Below are 17,632 nucleotides of genomic sequence, written 5' to 3'. Positions count from 1 at the left end.
TAAATACGATTTTTGAATAAATCAATGAAAAAAACTGTAGCAATCTCATTCCACAATTCACTTACTTTTCAGCTGCCATTGGTCTAGCAAACTGCTGCCCCAAAATAGCCACAAGAGTTTATTGCAGCATTGAAAAACAAGCATGAAATATTCTGATCCCATTTTCACAGCCAATGGCAATAACCTGAACACCACATCCGTGGTGAATTTTTACCTTGGTTTCTCGAAGAAGGAACTGCAGGTCCCGTCCACTGAGGATACCATGGTTTTTCACGTAACTGGGAATATTCTTTGTGCTGGAGCCATAAACAGTTGCATGCACTTCCATGTATGTGTGAATAATGTCCAAGTAGATCTTCTTATTCTAAAGAAGAAAACAAGCACAAGACATTTCTCTTTTTCTTTCATTTGCATAACAACCTGTATCATGGACTAGAACTTCTAAGACTAGAGGCCACAGACAGAGAGTTCTTAATATGGAGATCACAGGAATTTGGCAATCAAACTGCTAAAATTTCTTTGAAAAGTAATCTGGCTGGACTTTGTGGACATAAACAGTCATATAGCCATTGTATAATTTTTTAAGAAGAAATACATTATATGGCAACATATTACTGAATACCAACTGTATAATTTTGCAAGAGGAAATACATTATATAGCCAACTGTTTTGAAATATCATCCTTGCTTTGTAAATTACCACAGACCTAACAGTTGATTTTGGCTCTTCCTACCTCTAGGAGAGGAAGTTTGGGGAAGGACAGCCCGGGGAAGGCAGTCAGTTGGACTGCAACATTTACCCAGAGATGCTAAGCTGTCCCAGAGGAATACAAACATTCCCCAGCTCTTGCCAATGTTTCTAGTGATGATTAACTCATGTTGTCAGAACTGGATCCCACCTAATTTGGGATCATGGGAAGATGAGAGTTTCTCACAGCTGGAGAGATAATGAGAATACTCAGGTAGATAAAAGTAGAAAAAAGAGAATAAATGTAAATTTTGATGAGCCCTGAAACATTCAAGAGTAATTTTACTTATACTATTAGAAGCACAACCAAACCCCTTTTCTTGTATTTGTAGGCACTGAATTTTGAGGCACGTTTTCTAAATCAAAACCACCTGTGAAGTGGAAGCAAGTTCACCTTTTTTACCTCTGTGTTTCCCTGTGACTAAACTGTACAAGCTGGGGTTTGTGGGTTTTTCTTTTCCTTTTTTTGGGAAATTTTCAAAAAGTCAAATTCTGTAATGTTTTCCAGTTGTATAAAAGTGGGACAAGGTTTCCTCATTCTAAGCCTGTTTTCAGACACTCCAGGCAAATCTAATAATAGCTGGTTTTGTGACTTAAGACCACAAGGGACACAGGGGTGTGGTATTAGCAGCCACAGAGTGCAGGGAAGCCCGGAGGCAGGCTCTAAATGAAGCGATTCATGATCTGGTCTCTGCCATTCACTGCCCTGGTGATATTACAAAGGACCCTCAACTTCAGGAGGAACATTTCAAGTGATGTATCAAAAGTCTTCATGACTGGGAAAACTGCACAGTCCACATTCTTCATTTCATGAACCAGGATGACTTTGCTTGCAATGAGCAAGACCACCCTTGCCACCCTAATGTATGAATAAAATGAACAGTGGGACTGAAAGTTTAATTCCATGCCATGTCTGGTATGGCCGCAAGATGCTGAATTCATTAACTTAGAAATGTATAGTTTTAAATTAGTACAGAAGCTTACACCTACCTGGCATATGTTAGTTTGAAGGGTTCTAGGATATGGTTCTTGTGCTAGATGTATCTGGTAACTCCTGCCCCCACCCACAGCTCCTGTTAAGTAGGCAGGGGGCTCTGTTACCCTGTGCCCACTGCTGGCTGCTGACCTGCCCAGGGTGTGTCTGACCTGAGGGGACCCACTCCTAGGCTGGCCAGCAGCCCAGGAATGATGTAGCAGACTCAGGAAGGCAAGGGGAGCCAACCAGATGCTCTCTTGGGAACTCAGAATCCTGTATACAGGGAGATTACTGCCAGATGGCCACTGGCTTTAGAGCAAAAAGGTCATTTGAGCGTTGGAGTCTGGGCAATTACGAGCCAGATAACAAGTTCTGAGGAAGCTGGTTGCCAGTTTTGGCGGGTGGGTTGGGAAAAGAACCAAGTAAAGGCTAAAGGAGAGGGGAAGACGCAGACAGTCGGTCATAAGAGGGACCCAAGAGCATGACTACAACCAAAACATCACCACTGCAAGCATGACACAGAGCTAGAAAAAAAAAGAGGAGTAGAAGAAGAATAAGGAGAAGGAAGGGGAGAGAAGAGAGTGGGAAAAGAAAGCAGAGAGACAGAGGAGAAAAAACTAGGGCCTGGAGCCACTCTGGTTCTTATCCCACCCACAGTGGTTCCCTATCCTAAATTCCCCAGGTCCCTCTGGATCCTTATAATAAACACAGCTCTTCCCAGACCCCACCCCATATTTTTACTTGAGTTTCCCTGTGTGGATTTCACTCATCTACAAGGAGGCCTCTCGGGACATCTTGCTGGCCTTAAAGCAGGAGATGGGCGGTGCAGGTGGGGACAGGCATCTCTCCTTTATGCAAAAGGAGGCATTTCGCCTAAAAAGCCAGTTGCCAACTAGTGAAGATGGGCCAAAGGCCCCTAGGCTATGTCTGTGGTGAGCTACAGGGTAGACCAGTAACTGGCCCATTTGGTTCCTGTCCTGGAGAAAAATATCCACTGTAGACAGACTCAAGATTAGGGTTCCCAGACTAAATGCCTGGGAAAGTAACAAGGTACTAGATTACATATGTATTACCATTAAATCCCAGAAAAGGCTGGGGTTTCTTGAAGTATAACAAGGGGGCAAGTTCAGGCAAATATAAAGAGGTATATGTAAAGACTAATAAAGTGTATGAACTTACTAACTTTTAGGCATGGTAAAATCAAAACTAGAGATTACCTTCAGAAAGGATTTACCAATTTCATAAACGTGAAAATCCCAACAGCTGATTAGAGGAAAAAAAATGTTTCAAGCCTAACTTTAGCCTTTGACATTGATGTAACAATTAGGTACTTCTACCTCAGGTCTCTTGTTACCACTTGTAAGAGTTCTGAGTAGAATCCTGGTGCAGATGAACCACGCTGCCTATTCCAGGTAAAGGTGCCCCAGAAGCCTCTCATACCAAACTCCCAGCCAAGTACCTACACCAGTTTTGCACCTGTGGTTCTGTCCCCTTCAAGCTCCATGGACACACATGTCGAATTAGTCACACAGTCCTGTATATTCTGCCTCCATAATATCAAATTGGTCTCCTCTTCTCCAGGATGGAAGGGTCAGTTCTTGCCATCAAGGGGCTCAAAGGATCCCCTTCTGTCTTCATGGACACTCTTATCTTTTGTGTTTAAGATGCAGGATATTCAGGATTTTTAAAATTAAAGGTGTCTTTGTCTGCCTTTCCCCTACACATGGGAAGGCTCAAAATGGGGAGGGCGTTAGAGGTAAGAGACATTTTCCAGCATACACTCCCCCTTCCCTTCCCTTACTTTGGTCATCCAGGCCCAGGGTGAAGGTGACCATAGGTGACCACCATAGACCTGTATGTCCCACTGATCTAAGAACTGGATCGAGATCACTTCTTAGAAAGCTTTCCTTCTCCAACTTAAGAGACTAAGGTCAAAGAAAATTATCTGCTCTAAAAACTTTATCACCAACAGATCTCTGGAGATGCAGTCAAAAAGGGCCTGCACTGAGTATCATATCACAGCATGCAACCACCTCTGTCGCCCAAAGGTTCCAGCTGAGCAACCAGCAACCCCCCTAATGCTTTTATTCTCTAGTTCAATTTAAATTCTCATTAAGAACAACTGATCTAACTGATTAAAACTTAAATCCACCTAAGCTCATTTGAGGGGAGGAGATGCAAAGGGAAGGAGAGCGCATGCTGGAGTCAATGAGCAGTGTTGTCAGTGTCTCTTCAGCTGTTTATGGTTGTAGCTGGAGGCAGGTACATGTTCAGAACCAGTCATAAGATATTTAGAGCTTGGAGAGAAAGCTTTAGAAAAACAATTCAATTTACGCAACACTCCTGTAAGTCCACAGCAGGGGGGAGTGGTAGAATGCAGAACTAGAGAATCAGAAGCTTTCCCCAACTTATTTTACAACATTTTTAAATTGATAATAATTGTACATGTTTATGGGATATATGGGATATTTCAATACATGGATACTACATGTGATGATCAAATCAGGGTATTTAGGGTATCCATCACCTCAAACATTTATCATTTCTTTGTTTTGGGAACATTTCAAGTCCTTTCTTCTAGCTAATCTGAAATAGACAATATACTGTTGGTAACTATAGTCACCCTTGTCTACTATTGAACACTAGAACTTATTCCTTCTATCCACCTTTATGTTTGCACATTAACTCACTACTCTTTATTCCCACCTACCCCTTTTCCCAGCCTCTGGTATCTGTCATTCTACTTTCTACCTCCATGAGGGCCACCTTTTTAGCTCCTACATAGGAGTGAGAACATTCGACATCTGTGACTTGCTTATTTCACTTAACATAATGATCTCCAGCTCCATCCATATTGCTGCAAACTACAGACTGCCATTTTTTTAAATGGCCGAATCGTATTCCATTATGTACATATTTTCTTTATCCATTCATCCGCTGATGGACACTCAAGCTAATTCCGTATCTTGGCTATTGTAAATAGTGCTGCAATAAACATGGGGATGCGGATATCTCTTTGATCTCCAACTTCCTTTTTAGCTGGTGAATTAGGGTATAGGAATGTTCTTTGGTGAATAGCAGTATCCTCCCCAGTAACACCCCTGCTCCCCACTGCAGACACACATATTTCTCCTGGACGTCAGTTCCCCTCATTCACGCAGCACCTTATGACCTGTCATTAAAAAATTCTGCAGCTCAGCCCAAAGTTGGCTCCTCCAGGGTGAACATCTGTGAGTCTTAGGCAGCAGTAGTCCTCCCTGGGAAGTGCTGTCAATCCCTCTCCAGGGTGACAAAACCAGGCTGCAGAGGCAAGCGTGTGTCCCACTCCATGGAGGGCAGAGAAAAATTTAAGTCCTACAGAGAAGGCCTAACAGGACAGTGGCAGGGTCTCGGTCCACAGCTCACGTCATCCAAAATGCTGAGCACTGGAGAATTTTCAACTTCAGATTTTCGGGAATATGGATGTTCAACCAGTTAAGTATTTGCTAATATCTCCAAATCTGAAAAAATCCAAAATCAAAAACACTTCTGGTCCCAAGAATTTTGGATAAGGGATACTCAGCCTGTGGCAGCTCCTCCTCTTTCCCCACAAATATGGAAATCGGCCTGTTACCTGGTTTTACAAACATACAATAATGAATCCTATTTTTTATTTAAGAAACACAAGGCCACAGAGTATGCATTGACCAGAACCAGCCATGGGAGTACTTTACTGTTACTGTAACGTAACTCCTATAAAGGTTGGGGTTGGGGCTGTCAACTGCACAGAATGAAGATCTTGTAAACCTCCCTCCACTACAGGTCGCCTCCATTTGCTCTGCCAGCCCCCTCCTGCATGAACTGCTATCGTAATGTCTGGGCTGGGCTCGTTGTCTCAACAGTGGCACGCTCCTTAGGAGCCCTTTCAGATTGCCCCTGCTCCTCTCTTTTTCAGTCAGTGCTCACACAAACCAGGCTGCCCTCTGCTGCCAGATGGGGAATAAGCTTACCATGGGATGGGGTGATGGGGTCCTCCTTCCTAAATAGCATCGCAGAATTATAGGGGCCTTAGAAATCTATGAGGTGAACCAAGGTTGATGGCAAACAGGACACAGGAAGGAGCAGGGCGAATAAAACCCACCTCCTTTCTCTCCTCCAGACTATTCCACTATTCCAAGGTAGAGCTCCTCCTTGCAGGCCTTTGGGGAGAGTCCAGGCAGCCCAATGTGCTGCTGTGTCTCTGTGGCCCCTGGTGAGGCAGGAGCCAGCATGGTCAGACACACCGTCTGTTACCCTGCACTTCCCTTTTCCTTCATCCTTGCTGCCCTGGATTTGCAACTCCTTCTGCAGCAAAATATTGGTACTTTAGTCTTTGTCTCAGGCCCTGCTTCCTAGAGGCTGTGGGCTAAGACATTGTCTGTAGGCTCTCATTCCTTCAACCCATCCTCCTTATTGTCACTAGGTTCCAAAACTCAAAGTTTTGTTCCCCTATATAAAGAGCTTCCCAACACTGCACACAAGGCCCTTCACAATCTGGGCTTCTGCAAGCTCTCCAGCTTTAACTCCAACTATTCCCTCTGTCATCTGCTAAGGTCTCTGCCTACACTTAACTTATCCCTCATTCCCAAACCTCTCCTGCTCTCTCACACCTGGTCTGCCACTGCTAATGCCCAAAAGAACCTTCTCTCCTCCCTCCTTTTCTTCTGGATGGACTCCTGCCTCCTCCTCCTTTACAAGCAGGCAGTCCTGGATCCACCCAGGTGAAGGTCAATGCTGTCTCCTCTGTGCCTTAACCATCTTCCTGCTTGGGCTGCACTGTCACTGGATGTTCCCAGATGGCTGGAACTGTGAACTTCTCCAGGGCAGAACCAGTAGGCTTGGCAGAGGCCTGGCACAGGGCGAGCGAGCGCTCAGTAAATACAAGCTGGCTGAGTGAAAAACACAAGGAGGGCAGGCACACAAACCACAAAGGACTTATGGACTTGTGGGAAACATGGATCTCGGGCACGGCACATTCCTTCACTTTCCACCTGCTTCCAGCAAACGAGCTTAAAGTCCAAGACTACCTAAGTGTGTATTCTAATCAAAAACAAAATAAAAAGAGTTGTAAAACTTAAAAGGTATATTTTATAGTTGATTCATCCTCCTTTTTATATTGCTCCTAAGTACCACATTCACTTAGGAACTGCAAGGCAAACAAAAAAGAAAAAGAGAGGAGAGAGACAAAAAGAAACTACCTCATCTGCTTGCTCCTGAAGTCTAAAATTCAACAAAGATGAAAAATTATTTTATTCCAAGATTGGAGGTAAGTTCTAAAATGCAAATCTCTGTGAATTTCAGCAGTGTAGCCGAAAAAATTTACATTTCAGAACAATTTAAAGTCTCTGCAGTCTTTGGCTCATTTATCTCAAGTAACCACCCAAGGTCAAGGTATATATGTATGGGGTGGTCCTTGTTGTGTCCCACTCAAACCTTGTGGGGCTCTGAAAAACCCTTGGAAGCTAAGAATCTCAAAGCCTGTTCACCTCTGTCTCTTCCTTCCCAAACCCTTACCTCTCTAGGAGAAAAAGATGGTGCTCAATGATTGCAGTGGCACAATAAGGGGAAGCTTGCTGTCTTGTTTCCAGCCCAGTCTGTGGTCCACCTATTGGCCCACAGGCCCTAAAAAGAGGGGAGTCTGCTTCCTTTCATGTACTGGCCTCCACATTTAGTCTTGGCTTGAGCTCATCTGGTATAAATTAGGATTCATCTTGGGCAATGGGTCTCAAGTATGATACTGAGTGGCTCTAGAATTTGCCTATCTGGGGGAACGAACAGGAAGAAAGAACAGCCACAAACACTTTACTTATTATTCTCTACTGTCCAATTAGGTGAGAATTTTGGTTTCTGGTCCAAAGACAGACATAGGGAGATTTCTGAGGCTAAATGGGTGGTACGGAAAGAGCAATGGTCCTGTATTTGCAACTTGATGGCAAATGTCTCATCCATAAATAGGAAGTAATACCACTTAATGGTTCTTTTAGACAACTATTACATGTACAGTGCTGAGCCAGCACTGGGAATAAAATGCATTTAAAATATGTTTAAGTATGTACCCTTGCTTTTAAAAACAAGGTGCTAATACTACTCCAAAGCCATAAAACGGGACAAGCTAGACATGAGAGTCCTGAGCTGGCTAGCATCTTCACATCACTGCCCATGTGGAACCAATGCTTATGCCCACTCTACATCTCTCAGTCCGAACTGGTCAGTGTGGGTCTCTATTTTCCAGCACTTTTGTTTTTCAGGATTTTCTCTGCCTTAGCACAGAGCTTTCTGCCATTTAACGAATGGCTCTTAAAGGACCCTGGGGAACCACCAGCCAGTTTATGAAAACAAGAAACCCTTTGGCATGACCTCCTTTCTGCTTTAAGAAGGGCAGGAGGCCTTCAAATTGCAGAGCTGGTTTCTCTTTTCCTCAATGCAAATGCAGTCACTTACGGATAATGATGTTCCTTCATCTACTCTGATTGGCATGGTCCTAAAGCAACAAAGCCCACCAGCTATACTACCATGCAGAAAACAGGCTGGTAGGTTGAAAACACACCACCACAGCCCAAATGTGTCAGCAAACTCCTCCAAGAGCTTTCTGTTTTCCACCTATCTGGGCAGTAACCACAGAAAACAGACTGTTTAGTGACAAAGAGGGCTGTCACAGTGGAAGGTTTTGCCTTGGCAAACTGAAATTGCATGTTTTATAGAATCCCTAAAGGGTCAGGAAATCATGGACTGAATATCCTTTCCTGAAAGGAGGAGATAGCTTGATGAGCTTGGCCAGATACTGTTTAAAGGCAAGGGAGAAGTGTCTCCTATTATTACAGGACCATCCTGTGAGAGTTGTCAGGGAAGAATTTTGGAAAACTGCATGGTCACACTGGCAGTAGGTGTGACGGGGCTTCCTCTGAAAATTAAACTGAGGCCCCAAAGGCCAGGAACCAAACCACAGAGGCCAAGTACCACCCAATCACATCAGTAAAGAATAAATTAAAAATAATATGAAAAATATAAAGTAATACATTAATACTTTTAAATCATTTTAGTGTATTTCTTGGTAACAAGAAGGGGGGAGAATTCTATCTATATATTGGTCTCTCTTAGTAAGGAATAACATTACATTTTGTGTTTTCCAGTATTAACTGTTGTAAATCTGTGAGGGATTCCATCAAAGTAATACTCTTCATATATTCATGTTAAAGGACAGTATTAGCAGATGTCAATTGATCTTTACTCAGTTGATCAAGAAACATTCTTAAAATTAATTTCAAAAAGTTTTTTTTCATATGAAGCAAAATATAAAAATACGAACACACACAGTGACTGGCAGAACACAATTTCTGCAGGCCAGGATGAAAAGTAATTGCTTTCTTGTAATTTCCAACTTTTCTACTTGTAATTATCTTACAACCAAGGGAGAAAGATAAGACCTGTCTGCAAAATCACATTTGGCAGCTCCAATGGGCACGTCTCATATATAGTAATTATGTAGAAATCTGGGAGGTGGGATGAGTGGAGAAGGCCCAGTTTCATTGGGAAACCAGAAAGGGAAAAAGGCGTGTGAGGCAGGGCCCACTTCTATGGGATGGTACACACCTTTACCTTTCATCCCAAGGGCCTTACCTTCCTGCCAGCCTCTCAAAGTTAGGAATAAAAAGGGCAGCCTGAATTCAATGCACCACACATAAGGAAGGAGTTTATACTCCACTCAATATGCATGTGCTTCTCCCTGGATCCTTCCAAAGCAGCAGGTGGTGGGGGTGGGGGTGGGGTGCAACCAGGACAGCTTCATTAGTTTGATTCTGAATTACATAAAACATGAGACCAGGCCACCATGTTGTGGAGAAGCATGGCGGCACAGAGTCAAGGGCTGAAACAATTTCACTCAGTGCTTAATTTACTGTAAAATAATAAATCATATGATTCTAGAGTAGTATTTGGAGATGTTCCTCTCTTTGAAGCCCCAATAGATAATAAAAGGCACCTCTCTGGGGACACCAGGACAGCCAGATTCAGGCAGGTTGCAATGCCCCTTCTGGTGCCATCCCAGCTCTTGACTTCATTGTCTGCACGGGGGATGACAGACTCCAAATAAGACATAATTTAATGTGCCAGGAAGCTCTCATTGTTATAATAATTATACGCAGGGTAAACAGCACTGCTTCAAAAAGACAAGACTTTTTGAAGATCCTTATGCTTGGCAGCTCTTACCAGCAGTCTCACAGAAGGGGTGGCATTAATTACTCAGAGTGGAGACAGGGGAGAATTGGTCTCTGTCTGTAAATAGCCTTTACACAGGCAGGCCAGCCCTCCCACACTGATCTGAGGTAATCTGGCCTTTTCTGGGGCCCTATCCATATTTGTGTAAAATTTAGCAGGCAGTTTGGGGTCAAGAATGAAGTAATCTGTGTTTTTATTCCAGTTCTCTGACTAACTTCTTATGGGACTTCGGCAAGTTCCCAAAGTTCAGTTTTCTTATCTGTAAAATGAAGGAATATTAAACCTGCCCTATTATCTCACGTGGGTATTCACGGAAACAAATGAGATTTTTAAATTATTATGTGAAGGCACATTCTTTCACAAACTCGCTGTCCCCAAGGCTCATGCATCTGAAAGAGCTCTACCCAGCACTTAGTTATGGCTGAGATTGGGGACACCATGGACCTCAGAGGATGCAATGCCTTCGTGTGGTGTGGGGCAGACCCATCCCTCACCAAGGGCTTTCTGTCCTAGATGCTGGGTCCACTGACCCAGGGGTGCCCCCTTCTGGGTGGGACAGCATAGGCTGGTTTCCACTATGCCACATCACTAAGGTGCATTTCTAATTTTAAGCTCTAGTTGTAGGGCTGTGCTTGCTAAATTTCCTTGCTGAGGCACTCAGCCCCATGCCATATGCATTAATACCCATGGCTTCATGATGATGGATGTGTCCACTGGTAATAATGCACATAATCTCTCCCCTCAGAATACCGAGTGTCAACATGCTGTTGTTGTAGGCGGGGACTTGACACGTGACAAACCAGGCCACTTAAAACACAAGACTCTCTTGGGCTCCTTCCTTCCCCTGCTCCCACCAAGCTAAGAACAAACTTCTAAATTCCAGGCACGATCTCTTTGTGTTTGAGGTGTACAGATTGAGATTCTGATTCAGGTATAGCAGCGTAAGGTCCCTTTAAAGGACAGCTGACCACCAGGCTTTAAATGAAGAGCTGATTTTTAAGACAGAAGCTAAAAATATCCTCTCCATCTCTCTCCTCAAAATAAATCACATGCCTCTTGAAATTTATTCACCTCATTCCTGATTTCTTAAAAACATGAAGATAGCAAAATAAAAGTGATCACTCTAATTAGAGTACCTTCCAATCTAAAATGCTGCAAATAAACATATTTGAAAGGAAAAGCAGCTGAAGTGTCTAATTTGCAAGCAGCAGTTTGAAAACAGGAACAATTAAAATACACTGGTAAAGCAAAGCTGAGGTCTCATACTCATCAATGGTTTCAGAAAATCTCTCACTTTCTACGTCCTCCTCCCCATTTCTCAGGCAGCTTCTGAGTGCTGAAGCTCTGCCCTGTTACCAATGCCAACACGACACACCCTATAGAGAGGTGTGTCTATAAGAAAAAGGGAGAAGGACCCAGAGCCAGGAAACCAGGATTTCAAACTTTGACATTGCCCTTTGCTGGCTATGTGCCCTTGGGAAGTGGTTTCACCCACCTGCACCTGGACTCTTCAGGTAATAACCACCCTCCCTCCTGGAGAGGCCCAAAGGATCACATGAGATAATGTGGTTAAGTGACTCAAACTACAAAGGATTCTTCTCATGACTTCTCAACCTTGTGGTTCTATTCTAGCCAAGTCTTTCTTGTCCATCCCACGTCCAGGATTGTTACAGACTAATTGTCTGTGTCCCCCAAAATTCATATCCCCGCTATTGAAATCCTTATCCCCCCTGTGATGGTACTAGGAGGTGAGGCCTGTGGGAAGTAAAGAGGTCACAAGGGTGAAGTCCTCATGGATAGGAATAGTGCCCTTTTAAGAAGAGACCAGAGATCTAGGTCACTCTTTCCACCAGGTAAGGATAAGACATTGGCTGTCTGTAACCCAGAAGAGGGCCCTCACCAGAACCCAACCATAGTGGCACCCTGATCTCAGACTTTCAGCCTCCAGAACTGTGAGAAATAAATTTCTGCTATTTATAAGTCACCTAGTCTATGGTACTTTATCACAGCAGCCCAAACACTCAGCCAAGGCTAACTAACTGTAGTTTCCAGTCTTTGTTCAAGACACTCTCTCCTGCTTAGAAGTGCCATCCTGCCATTCACCACCCCAGGTAAGACCCCTTTTGAAGAGCTCCAAGTGGTAGCCTCTTTTGGATGGTTTCCTCAAGCAGATCACTAACGGCACCACCTACCTCCTCAACTCTCTCAGCACTCAATCCCCATCCCCAGCCAATGGAGCCCTAATCCTCTGCTTATTGCTGTCTCCCACCTGGTTAAACACTGCTTGAGAGTTCAATATGTCCCCTCCTCTTACTTGATTCCAAGCTTCAGTGGGGCAAGGACCTGATCAGATATTCTAGATCAACAGCATCTGAAGTTGCTCAATTGACACATGCTAAAAGAAATAGGAGTCCAAGAAACGAAGACCTTTAGGGTCTGAAACAAGACAAAGAGAGGCAAAAGTCTGAGAGATGGCATAAAAGATGCTAAAGAAGAGACGTTTATCCAGTAAAAGAAACCATACAGAGAGGTTGGAAATGGCCCACTTCAGTGGAGACCTAGGCCCAAATAACTTGCTATGTTAAAGGAACTCTGCAGCAACTATTTTTACCAAAAATCAGTGACCATTATATTTCACTTAGATTTGGGGGCGGGAGGGTTAGGGGGAAGTGTTTTCAGACAGAATACATATCATGTGACATAAATCTGTGTTTGTTAAGACAGACTCCTCCATGAAAATAACAGTAGACATAGGACAAGGTTAAAGTCTTTGGATTAGTCCTACATTTAAAATAGTTACAGGGTTCTGCCATGTGATTTGAATACTCTTTAATTTCTGAAAACAAAAGAAACATATATTGAAATAAAAATAATTCCTTTCTATATTTTCTGATTTAAAAAAGATAGCATTAGGAGATATACCTAATGTAAATGACGAGTTAATGGGTGCAGCACACCAACATGGCACATGTATACATATGTAACAAACCTGCACGTTGTGCACATGTACCCTAGAAAAAGTATAATAAAAAAACAAACAAACAAACAAACAAAGTAACTGAAGTTGGATTTTGTTTTTGGTGTTTGATTTGATTGGAGGGTAGCTGTTTTGCTGGCACCTCAAGCAGTGCCTGATCTAAAAAGTGAACCTCAAAAAGGGGATGCACGAGATGATCCACGGGGATGCACAAAAAAATAGGAATGTGTTTCTTTACAGTGTAATATTTGTATACCATAAATACCATTATTCTACTCTCCATTTTTATCAATAAATTAGTATCCATATATTGAGAGGTCAAACTCAGCCTTTTTTCATTGACATGGCTCCAACAATCAAAAACAAACTGAAGACCCAGTGGCAGTCTGAAGCGTGGAATGGAAGGCTTGCAAAAAACTGCAGGAAGGATTGGGAAAAAGTGATGAAACCACACCAACGCCCTGCCTGTCCTAGTTATTCACGTTCTCAGCTTAGAAAGAATAATTGTAAAAGGAGAATGATGATATTTTTCTGAACTCCAGTTGAATGTGAGAAAGGGAAAGTGAACATGTTCAATACAAGGTTCACAAGAGGAGGCATTTGGTCTCCTGTGTCCTTAACAGAATTTCTGAACTCAGGACCACATAGTTTCTCTCCAAAGGAGTCACCTAACACTTACTTAGGCAAGAATACAAGTACTCCAAATTTATGATGGGACCAGCTTGCCATAACCTGTATTAGTTTTGATTCCAAATTTATTCAGGTCACCTTCACACACCATTAACTCAGTTATCCACCAAGCCATTAGACACCATATGTGCATGACTACAGGCCTCAGGGGCTCCAAGAAAAAATTAATCACCAGGGAACCTATCTAGCTGGTTGGTCTGATAGTTCAGCTGGGAAAGCATATGGAGTAGCACAGAGGCTGAGGCTAAACGCCACTTAGAAAAATTAAAGTGAGAAACAGCCTTCCTTTAAAAAAGGAGCAAATCTGGAAAAGACAGAGGGTGCTAGCTTAGTGCAGATGTTGTCTAGGTCTGTTTCCTGAGATGACTTTTCAGAGATTCCCAAGCTTAGTCTTTACAAGCTATATTTACTAGTCAATATAGCATTACTCGTCAGCATAGAATGCAATGGACTGGAAAACAAATATATTTAAATTAAGTGAGTTCATAAAGACACTTAATTAGACTATCACTAGCAAGTACTAATGAACTAATGGGTCTAGGCAGTTATTCTTAATGGCTGCTAACATGAAGAAAAAAGCAAGATAACCGGACATTATGTGCCTCCTGATGCCAATACCTCAAAACCCCTTATAAAGTAGCCCTGCAAAAATCAAACCTGGGCTGGGGGCGGTGGCTCAGGCACTTGGGGAGGCCAATCCCAGCACTTTGGGAGGCCGAGGCAGGCCGATCACTGGAGATCAAGAGTTTGAGACCAGCCTGGCCAACATGGTGAAACCCCATCTCTACTAAAAATACAAAAATTGGCCAGATGTGGTGGTGTGCACCTGTAATAACAGCTACCCAGGAGGCTGAGGCAGGAGAATTGCTTGAACCGGGAGGTGGAGGTTGCAGTGAGCTGAGATTGCACCACTGCACTCCAGTTTGGGCAACAGAGCGAGACTCCGACCACCCCCCCACCCCCCAAAAAAATCAAACCTGAATTTGATCAGGCTGCTGTATCTCATCTACCAACTTCAGAAAATATACTGGAGGAAGACCACAGGTATGCAATTAGTAAAATTTAGACTGTGGGCAACTCTACAGGATAAATAACCTGGTATAACAAATAAGCTCCTGTTAAAGGACACTTAAAGAATCTACCCAATCACAATGTGTGGATCTTATTTGCATCTTTATTTAAATAAAATGAAAAAATCGAGACAATCTAAGAAATCTGAACCCTGTATATTTCAATATTAAAAAATTTACTGTTAATTATTTTCAGGTGTAATAGCAGTGGGTTTTTTTTTTAAAGATCTTCATATCTTAGAGATACATACTATACTGAAATACTTTAATAATGAAAGAATAAGATGTCTTGAATTTGCTTCACAATATTCTGGGGGCGGAGGGCAGATAAGGAGGAAACATGACTGGCTGTGAGTTGATCATTGGTGAAGCTGGGTGAGAGGTACATGGGGGCTCATTATACAATTCTTTTATTAGAAATGTTTCGTGGCAAAATTTAAAGAAAAAGAGTCATCACAGTTTATTCTGAGAAAAGCTTTCAAATACTCAAAGTGGAGAGAAAGAACACTTTCTTTTTCATTGTCCTTGACTTTTTGGGAAGAGGTGGCAATTTTGAGCTTTAGGGACCTTCCATGTTAGTTCTGTGCCTCCCTTCTACTCATCTTTTGTGCATCCTTCTAAAATCCAAGGCTCTGATCCCCATGAATTTTAGCTGGAGATTTTGGAGTCTCCTGACTTCTCATTATTGGAAGAGCTGTCATCAAAGAATTACATGTGGAAAGTACCCTGATTCTTTAACAATCACCTTATAAGTCACCTTCCATTGGAGGTCTCCATTCTTAGTCTTCTGTTGAGAGGCAAATTCCCATCACTGGACTTTGGAGCTCTTGGGTACACATTTGAATACTCAACCATCTGTGGCTATAAATGGGCAGCTTTCTCCCAATATTCGTGTCTTTTTTTGTTCCCCTTCACCAAACTCTTTTGTGCTGTTCAGAACCAAGTCATTAGAATGATGATTCTTCTCCTTCCCTCCAACATGAGGTAGCATGCAGCAAGAGCTTGCTAGGTGTTTTGTTACCAGCTGCAGGAACTTCTAGCGGAAAATGGCTCAGCCATGTTAGTGGGCATGTTGCCTCCTGTGTGCTCAGCTCTGTAGGAAGACTTTACTTGCCTCATTCCAGCTAATCCTTACAACGATCTTAGGTAGAATAGACTCCTGTTTCTGCTTTACAGACAGACAAACTCAGGCCCAGAAACTTGCTTAAGGTCCTCTAGTCCTCTAATAAGTTAGCCGATAGAACCAGGATTGGAACACAGTTCTTAACCAATACTCTATGAAATCTAGTTTCTGTGCTGGTTTGGTAAAAAAAAAAAAAAAAAAAAATATATATATATATATATATATATATATATATCATACATAACTTTTTATTTTTTATTTTTATTTTTTATTTTTGAGATGGAGTTCACTCTTGGTGCCCAGGCTGGAGTGCAAGGGAGCAATCTCGGCTCACTGCAACCTCCACCTCCCGGGTTCAAGCAATTCTCCTGCCTCAGCCTCCCGAGTAGCTGGGATTACAGGCATGTGCCACCATGCCCAGCTAATTTTGTATTTTTAGTAGAGATAGGGTTTCTCCATGTTGGTCAGGCTGGTCTCAAACTCCTGACCTCAGGTGATCTGCCCACCTTGGCCTCCCAAAGTGATGGGATTACATGTGTGAGCCACCGCACCCGGCTCATACATATCTTTTATCTGGCCAAATGGTCTCTTGTGTAGTCTTAGTGTGTTAACATTTTGTTATTTTCTATTTTAATCTTCACTCCAACTTTTCCTTATTTTGAGATATCCCATATATACATATTTCCTAAGCATATAGAACTACTTCTCTACCCCTTTATCTAATGCAAAGATATCCCCTTTTCCTTATGAACAGAATCTCACTTTTTCTTGGGGCAGCAATAGTAGTTGAAATTTCCTAATCTCCCTAGTAACTAGGAGTAGGTAAAGACTAGACACAGCTTCAGAGAAAGCTCTTTAGAGGGGGCTGCCTCAGCAGAGAAACACACACTCTTTTATCCTTCACTTCTTGCTTTTGCCTCCTAAGTGAATTGAGGCCCTAATGGCTAGAGCTTCAGCAGCCATCTTGGACCAAGAGTGCCTCTGAGGGCAGATGCAATTACTAAGATGACAGTTGAAAGACAGAAGCAGCTGGAGTCCCTAATAACAGACCACTAAAGCAGTGCGATTTACTTATCTATTTTAAGAGAAAAAGGAAATTCTTTAAGAGATTTTTTTATTTTACGGTTTAATCTAATATTCACATTTGAATGTAATTCTTAATTTGATACACCAACCCATTTGCATGTTCTGACTACCGGAAATTTTAATGCCAACATTTGATTTTTTTCTATGTAGTCTCTTGTTTAAATGACATTTCTTCTAACTTCTCTGACATCATTCCTGTTTTTTGCTTTTCCTATCAATGGTTGGTTCAAATATTTCGTATTTTGCCTCTGACAGCTTCTCATCCTGATGCTTAAGTGATTTTTCCATGGTCCAACTGCAAGCTAATTTCGCACACCTTAAAATAACACATTATTTTACTCTGCATCAAAATTTTTACCCTGACACCTTTTTGAGAATTTGTCACCGGATCAAAATGTCCCCAGTGCTTACTGTGTTGTGGTTCCGCCGGATAACAAGGTGCTTCTTACATCTTATCTCACCATCTGAGATTTTGCTGTTGATTAGCACAGCTTTTTAGTTGTTCCATATTTCCCCACTCTATTAGAACCAATATGACCTTATTTTATATGCCCTAAGTAAAAACAAACAAAAAAACCCTGCTAAATCGATCTTCCTTTCAATAAGCATTTATCAAGCCTAATCATCTGCATTTCTTCCTCCTCCCAAAAATACCCAATATTATCTTCAGTGGCTTTATGTTTCCCTAGTGTCATATTGTCAAAACTTTTCATTTTTTAATTGTCATGCCC

At 42.3% G+C, this 17,632-nt stretch overlaps 1 protein-coding gene across 21 annotated transcripts in view, besides 1 other annotated feature; it reads right to left on the bottom strand.

Annotated features, from left to right (window-relative positions):
• The window catches only part of MGAT5 (alpha-1,6-mannosylglycoprotein 6-beta-N-acetylglucosaminyltransferase), a 334,687-nt gene that overhangs the window by 51,270 nt on the left and 265,785 nt on the right, over positions 1 to 17,632 (bottom strand). For all 21 annotated transcript variants that reach the window (XM_006712534.4, XM_047444397.1, XM_047444400.1 and 18 more), the window contains one exon: positions 215 to 364. In XM_006712534.4, coding sequence (XP_006712597.1) covers positions 215 to 364 — 150 coding nt within the window. The remainder of the gene's footprint in view (positions 1 to 214; positions 365 to 17,632) is intronic.
• Positions 11,290 to 11,399: an enhancer, noted in NCBI's record as "active region_16562". NCBI's record gives its function as "activates an Ori minimal core promoter by ATAC-STARR-seq in GM12878 lymphoblastoid cells {active_cell/tissue: GM12878}" and the evidence as "EXISTENCE:reporter gene assay evidence [ECO:0000049][PMID:35858748]".

Source organism: Homo sapiens, chromosome 2 (genome assembly GCF_000001405.40).
Source record: "Homo sapiens chromosome 2, GRCh38.p14 Primary Assembly".
Lineage (NCBI taxonomy): Eukaryota > Metazoa > Chordata > Mammalia > Primates > Hominidae > Homo > Homo sapiens.
The sequence above is the reverse complement of the archived record's forward strand: the minus strand, read 5'-3'. Positions and strand labels throughout refer to the sequence as shown.